Source organism: Homo sapiens, chromosome 13 (genome assembly GCF_000001405.40).
Source record: "Homo sapiens chromosome 13, GRCh38.p14 Primary Assembly".
NCBI lineage: Eukaryota > Metazoa > Chordata > Mammalia > Primates > Hominidae > Homo > Homo sapiens.
Window position 1 is genome coordinate 102,964,958 of NC_000013.11, and position 8,013 is coordinate 102,972,970.

Genomic DNA, 8,013 nt, shown 5'->3' on the forward strand with positions numbered 1-8,013 from the left:
AGAACCCTTTGTGCTGGGAACCTCCCGACATGGAGACACCGAGGCTTTCCTCCCAGCTCATGCTCATTCTGCCTGTATTCTCTTTCTTTTGGTGGGGTCTCTAAGAGGCAGTTCCTTCGCACCTCTTCCAGATGTGCTTCTGATGGGCTCAATCTGCAAATTCACTGGACATGTCTAGGTATTTGTGACTACCAGCCTAGGCTCCTGCTGGGACCCCAAATATACAGCATCTCCAACTTGCTGGATATTGTATACTTCATGTAGGAGCATACACTTCATGTATGTCCAGCAGGTTACCTATGCACAATATGGACAACCTTTGGCAATTCCAGGTTTGAGGAAGAGTTTAGATATCATTCGGGCCTTATTTTACCTTTGTTATTTCATGCCATGGTGTCCACCTCATGGCTGAACTCCTTTACCAATAGAAGGGCAGAGGCAGATACAGAAAGCAGCTTAAATATCATTTTAGCAAGCAGCTTAAATACCATTTTAGTAAGGTGTATGGTGAAGGAAGCAAGTAAAAGGATTAAATCAAATGAAACGTTTGAAATCAGTGATAGATTTCAATTACACATAGACTTCTTTCTTCTGAGCACAAGGTTAACAGCAGATTGAGTGTATGTGCATGTATATCTCCACATACACACCAGTTCCCAAATAGAACATGTTCTTTTCATTCTACCTGTAATATGGCTGGGAGATCAAAGACTAACTCCTGTTGCTTTTTTATTTCTCAATATCTGTTGAGAAAGTGCCTCTGTTATGTTTCCAGTTTGTAGAATAGATCTTGTAGAATTTTAAAAGTAAGCCAAAATGTTAGTGGAAAAGATGGGTGTGTGTGTCTGTGTGTGCATTCTATTTTCCACAGCTGTCACCTGCTTTGCAAAGATGTTCTTAAAAGGTACAGAGAAATCCAAGGCATTGCCCATGATGCACTTAGGCACTTAGCCTTGAACCATACTCAGAATGACCTTCTCAAATCCAGTAAACAGAAGCTCTGTGACTATTTTATTACATGCTGCGATGCTCACAGTCATAAGTAGTTACCCTGAACTTTCACCCCTTTTTGGTTTTTGAAGTTATGAAACAGTGAACTTGAAGTGACATGTATAGAGGAAACCTGCCTTAACCTGCTCCTAAATGGCTTCCCTTTGCACGGTGTCCTGAACAAAACTGAAAACATATTCTACAAAGTAGTTATATTTTTGATCTAACTAGTGGAGAAGAAAAGAGGCTAAAAAAATAAAATTCAGAGGAATCATATTTTTATAGATATAAACCTTTTTCTTTCCAACTTTTATTGTAGGTTAAAGGGATACATGTACAGGTTTTTTACATGGGAAAATTGCATGTGGCTGGGGTTTGGTGTACAGATAATTTTGTCACTCAAGTAATCAGTATAATAGCCGATAGGTAATTTCTCAATTCTCACCCTCCTCCCACCTTCCACCCTCAAGTAGGCACTGGTATTTTTTGTTCCCTTCTTTGTGTCCTCAAATAGACATTTTAAAAATTCATACAAAAACATTAGGTTATGGCTGGGTGCCGTGGCTCATGCCTGTAATCTCAGCAGTTTGGGAGGCCGAGGCGGGCGGATCACCTTTGTTTGGGAATTCAAGACCAGCCTGACCAATATGGAGAAACCCCATCTCTACTAAAAATACAAAATTAGCCAGGCATGGTGGCACATGCCTGTAATCCCAGCTACTCAGGAGGCTGAGGCAGGAGAATCTCTTGAACCCAGGAGGCAGAGGTTGCGGTGAGCCAAGATTGTGCCGTTGGACTCCAGCCTGGGCAACTAGTGAAACTCTGTCTCAAAAAAAAAAAAAAAAAAATTAGGTTTTTGTGATGGTTGATAGTTTCCTAAAAATATCACCCTGGAAATGTTTGATTTTCATGGAGTTTTATCAAGCACTCATCAATCAACCAACAAACCAATCAGTTAATCAGTATATACATATTTTTGAGTGCCTATTATATGTCCAGGATTTCATTAATGAATGAATGAATAAATTTACTTACTTGACAAATATTTATTAATTTCCTTCTTTGTATAAATAAGGCACAACTAGGTATTGCCAACACTACAAAGTGCAGATACTTTCAAGAAACTTACAGTTGATTAAGGGAGACAGAAGTGTGAATGCATGGTTTAAATACTATGTAACAAGTATAGTCATAGAAGTATTTTTAGGGTAGCGAGATTCACTCATTCATTCATTCAATTACTCATTTGCTCATTCATTCGACTTTGGCTTATGTTCTAGACAATGTGTTGGGGTCTGGAAATAGCAGTGTTAGACAAGACAGAAAACCAGCCACTGTTCTCATGGAACTTATATTTTCATGCAGAAGGGAACTGAACAAACAAATAAGTAAATGCATTATATAAATAAATGCATTTTAGAAAAGTAAATAACATGAAATTGTTACAAGTACCATGAAGGAAAGCAGGAAGATGCATGAGAATGTAGAGCAAATGTCCTTAGAGATACTTGGAAATAAGCAACTAACTAAATAACTTTGCTTTTAGCTTCTAAGTATTCGTATGTGAGGTCATGTGTGCAGCTCTGAGTGGGGCCACCATCTGAAAGAATATCAGGACGCATTAAAACCTTGACTGCACACAACTGGGCTGGGTAGTGGGACAGGAGCTGGTGCAGGAATCAGTAGATTTGGTCTTCAGTCTTGGCTTGGATATTAATGACCTTAAGATATCACTGAACACTTCTGGGTGTCAGTTTTCTCACTTGTAGATCAACTACAAGTTCATCTACAAATTGGGCTGGGTGATCTGTAAAGCCCTATAATTCTGCATTCCCAGTAGGATAGATGCATCCTCAGCCTTTTACAGGGGGCTAAGTTTTACATTGAGACAAAATGTGTACATATGCTTGGCAAGTCTTAGCGCACTATACAACACAATCACTGAAGGAATTAGGCCAGATAGATTCATGTGCACATGCTCAGGACTCATCCGTATGGGATTTGGAAGCAGAGGTAGTTCATCAAAGGCACCCCTCCTCCAAAGACCATGTGCCTTACACAGTTTCTAGGTCTGCCCGCTTTTAAAGATTTGATGGAAGAGTCACCTGTGCACCTTATTTCACTTATGCATTTACCTAATCGGAGAAAAGTAACAATAGACTTCCAGAGCAGGAGTAGAAAGAAGCAAAGGAAATGGTGGACAAAGGCTCCAGGTGTGCTGGTTGGGCTCTGGACCCAAAATCCAAATTCTTAGGTTCCAGTCTAGGCTTGCCACTTTCCAGCCTTGACTCACTGGGCAAGATACTGAGCCTGGCGTTCTTACCATCGTCATATAGGTAAGTGGTAGAAGTTGTCCTGAATTAGTGGCATTCTGACTTCATCTTTAGCGTTAGATACTCCTTCCAAACAAACCAGGCATGAAATTCCAGCATGCCTGACAGAAAAAAGGGGAGCCACACTGATTGAAGGAAAGCTTGAAGACCTGTGGCCATGCTAACTGGGCCTTTCCCTCTCACTCCTAAAGCAGTCTTGAGGCAGGAAATCAGGACTTCTGGAAATCCAGTTTGGAAGCCCTTGGGCTAAAGAGCATCTGCATTGATGACAATCTGGTAATATCTCCATGCATAGTCCTTTGAAGTCCCCTCATTTGTCACCAATGCACCCACTGACTTTTCCCCTGCTTCTACTAACTTACTACGTAAAAGGACACGGGTGAATAAAAGAGTCTTTCTCCCTCGGTTTCTGAGCTTTGGTGGCTTTGAGTACTGGAGAGCTCAACTGCAGGTCCCCGCCTTGCTGCTTCCATATTCCAGCTACTCTTCTTTAAGTGAATGCTGGCTGGCATTTAGGGCAATCTGGAGGGTTAATAAGAGCCCCCCATGGCAATTTAATCCTGCATTAGGTAAAGACGCTGTACAGACTGTGGAACACTTGACTTATGCAAATATGACCTTACACAGATTGTTCTATGAAGCCCATAATAACATTTTAGATATGGAAATTTCCACTGTGGGCGGAAACACAAAGTTCTGCGGTGTGTGGCTGATTGCCGGGAAGCCAGAGTGCTGGGCAGGCAGGGCCATACAAGGGGAGGGCCTTCGGACTTTGCTTTCACGTTGCTCTGTTTTCCTATGGATTTTTGCTAGGCTACGTGTGCTATTTCAGTATTGTTTGTGTTGTTACTCCATTTATTGCATTCTAACTGTGACTGAATAAACCAGGTAATAGCAAGGGGGTACATTAGAAGAAAAAAAATGAAAGTTTAAAGGTTCTTAAAAATGCCAAAGCCTTTATTCCATTGTATGTGGATTTTATTTGGCTACTTCAACATTGAAAAGTATTTTGAACAAAAGCGCAAGCACAAAAGAGCACATAATGTTTTCTGCACATGGTGCAATGCTTAAGAGTCTAGGTTTTGGAGCTAGACAGATGGATTCTGAGTTTTGTCTCCTCTTTGCTATGTGACCTTGTCAGATTACTTACTGTCTTCCAGCTCAGTTTATCTTCTGTAAAGTGGGTGTGATGATGATACTGGAGTCTCTTAAGATTTTACTAAAGATTAAATGAGATAATACATGTAAAGTGTCTAGCTTTTGGCCTGGTACTTACAAAATCATACAACTCACAATTAAATTTCATTTTTGCATTGTTGGTAATGTTTACATTTCATAAATAGCACCTGCTGTGATAGCACTATGGATTTTTTTGAGTACTTACAAAAGCAGGATCTAAATGAAAAGTTAGCGATAATGCAGATAAAGGATGAAATTTAAAAATGTATACTATGTATTCAAATGATGATTCAAACAAGGAAGATAGAGAGCGAAAATATAATGCTTATAATGCAATGCTGTGGGAAGCCATGGGTGGTTCAATAGATTTAAAATTTGTGCCAATGTTCAAAATGTAAAAGTGAGAGGTTGAGAAGGCTAGTGCAGTCATAAAAGCCATAAAAATTATCCTAAAATGTTATGAATAATTATAAGGAGAACCTGGTATGGCACATAGCAACTTTTTGTTGTGAATTAAATTGGGCTCTTTTAGGGAATGATGTCAAAAAGGGGCAGACAATAAACAGTATTAAAGACCACATAAGCTAGTCATGCATTACTTTTCCCAAAGCGTTCAGTGTTAGTTAAAGCTAATACTGGCACTGGTTTATCATTTAGAACATCCATGTGTACTCGAAGGCCTTGGCAAGCTTGCAAATGTGTATATGTTTGAGCCAAACGTGCTTTGAAAGACACTGGGAGCAGCATGGGTGAAAAAAAGTGAGTAGATCTGGGCCTCTGTGAGGAAACCGAGGACTAGACCATGCTTTTATCTTTTGAGATCTTTGGCAATAGAATAACCATCAGTCCTAATTGCTTAGTGTTGCCTGACGCTCTCTTTCCATTATGTGAATTTATATTTTTATCTTCTTGACTTTCAGTTGCTGATAGGTTCTCCGTGATTGACTTATTACATTCCTGTTTGGCCTACATTTACTTGGAGTACACCTGTATCATTTTGAGAGAGACCTTCTTAGTCTTGCTAAATTGAAAGCTTCATTTATTTACTTTTTTATTTTTGTCTAGAGTTGGACTGGCAAGGCCTCTGAAGTTGTGAGTTGACTTCGCCTAGGCTGCTTGTTCTTCAGTCTCAGAACATCCTTAGCCACAGGTCATCTTTAAGAGCAATTTACTTATTTCATCTTGGTGAGAAAGAGCACTTAACATGAGATGGACCCACTTGACACATAGGTGAAATATTGCGTAGCAGATCTCTAGAGCTTATACTTGCTGAGCAGCAGGTGTTCACCTTTGTAACTGTGGGAACTTTACACTTGTGGAACAGTAACTCTCTGTTTCCCTTTCTTGTAGTTTCTGGCAACTGCCATTTTACTTTCTGTTTCTATGAGTTTGACTATTTCAGATCCCCCACATAAGTGGAATCACTCAATATTCATCCTTCTATTGCCACAGAAAAACTTGCATCAACTGATGCTGACTTGGATAACCTGGGATTTTTTTTTTTTTTTTTTTTTTTTTTTTTTTGGTACTGAGTGCAATGGCTGGACTCAGTACCAAATGGCTGGAGTGCAATGGCGCAATCTCGGGTCATTGCAACTTCCGCCTCCCAGCTTCAAGTGATTCTGCTACCTCAGCCTCCCGAGTAGCTGGGATTACAGGCGCCCACCACCCCCAGCTAGTTTTTGTATTTTTAGTAGAGAAAGGGTTTCATCATGTTGGCCAGGCTGGTCTCGATCTCCTGACCTCAGGTGATCCACCCGCCTCGGCCTCCCAAAGTGCTAGGATTACAGGCATGAGCCACTGCGCCTGGCCGGATCACCTGGGATTTTAATCTTTCAGCCTAGCACAGTGCCTGGATTGCAGGAGGCATTCAACATATACTCTTTGAGAGAGGTCTTATTTAGAGTCACTGAATTAAAAGATTTATTTTGCCTGGGTGTGGTGGCTCACATCTGTAATCCCAGCACTTTGGGAGGCTGAGGCAGGCGGATCACCCAAGGTCAGGAGTTTGAGACCAGCCTGGCCAACATGGTGAAATCGTCTCCACTAAAAACACAAAAATTAGCTGGGCATGGTGGTGGGCGCCTGTAATCCCAGCTTCTCAGGAGGCTGAAGCAGGAGAATCGCTTGAACCCTGGAGTGGGAGGTTGCAGTGAGTGAAGATTACGCCACTACCCTCCAGCCTGGGAGACAGAGCGAGACTCCATCTCAAAATAAATAAATAAATAAAAGCTTTATTTATTTACTTTTTGCCAAATAATAAATTTTTGTATGCTTTGGATGCATGGAAGAAAATGATTGTGGCCAAATATACATGTTTACCATAAAATCAATTTATTGCTAAGTACTAAAGAGTAAAAAAATTACAGATGCGACAGTAATAACAGCAACATTTATCCATTGAGCCTTTCTTGCCTGCCAGCCCTGGTGCTAAGCTTCACGTTCATTTAATCCTCACAACAATCCTGGAAGGTATGTATTAGAATCTCCATTTGTAGATGAGTAGCAGTATTTTAAAGTTTGGAGAATAGCCCGGAAGGTCACAGTATTGTTGGAACTGAGCTCATGCATTGGAGATTATGGAATGATTTGATCAGTGTTACTCTGCTTCCTTCGTTGTCTCCAAGCTCTGATGGAAAAAGTTGCAGACCATCTTAGTCACTACCTGGGCAAGCTTTTCTTTTTTTTCTTTTTGTTGTTTTATTTCAATAGCTTTTGGGGTCCGTGTGTTTTTTTGTTATATGGATGAATTATATAACGGTGAAATCTGAGATTTTAGTGCACTCATCACTTGAGTAGTGTACATTGTACCTAATGTGTAGTTTTTATCCCTAGCCCTCCTCCCATCCTCTCCTTTCTGAGTCTCTAAAGTCCATAATATCACTCTGTTTGTCTCTGCATACTCATAGCTTAGCTCCCACTTGTGAGAGCTAAGTGAGAACATATGGTTTTGGTTTTCCATTCCTGTGTTACTTCACTTAGAATAATGGCCTCCAGCTCCATCTGAGTTGCTGCAAAAGACATTATTTCATTCCTTTTAAAGGCTGAGTAGTATTCTGTGGTGTGTATATACCACATTTTCTTTATACACTCATTAGTCGATGGGCATTTAGGTTGGTTCCACATTTTTGGGTAAGCTTTTCTTTCATAACATACATCTATTTGGTCATTTACTTTTAGTTTTGCCATTCAGGGTGACAGAGATATTTTAGATGCTCTGATTATGTTAAAGAATAAACCCCAAGAAAGGTGTTTATTGAAATGCAGTTAGTTTATCCAGACATATTCCTGGTTCTTAAGCATGTTTCCTTGTTCAAGTTCAACCGTTTCAGTTTGGTTTCCTGCTAAACTTGGAGGAATCAACTATTCTCTTAGAGTAAGGATTTTGCTTCTTGTCTCTGAAATGATGGACTTGAGTGCCCTGTGAGACATAAATTGCCAACATGCATCCTGGCGTCCTGGAGTGAGGTTTAGAGGGGAGTGGTAAGACTGTCCTAGAGTAGTTTCAGTG

General features: G+C 40.3%; 2 annotated features.

The window, feature by feature from the left end:
- Positions 1,129–1,178: an enhancer, noted in NCBI's record as "active region_7974". NCBI's record gives its function as "activates an Ori minimal core promoter by ATAC-STARR-seq in GM12878 lymphoblastoid cells {active_cell/tissue: GM12878}" and the evidence as "EXISTENCE:reporter gene assay evidence [ECO:0000049][PMID:35858748]".
- Positions 5,747–5,946: an enhancer, noted in NCBI's record as "active region_7975". NCBI's record gives its function as "activates an Ori minimal core promoter by ATAC-STARR-seq in GM12878 lymphoblastoid cells {active_cell/tissue: GM12878}" and the evidence as "EXISTENCE:reporter gene assay evidence [ECO:0000049][PMID:35858748]".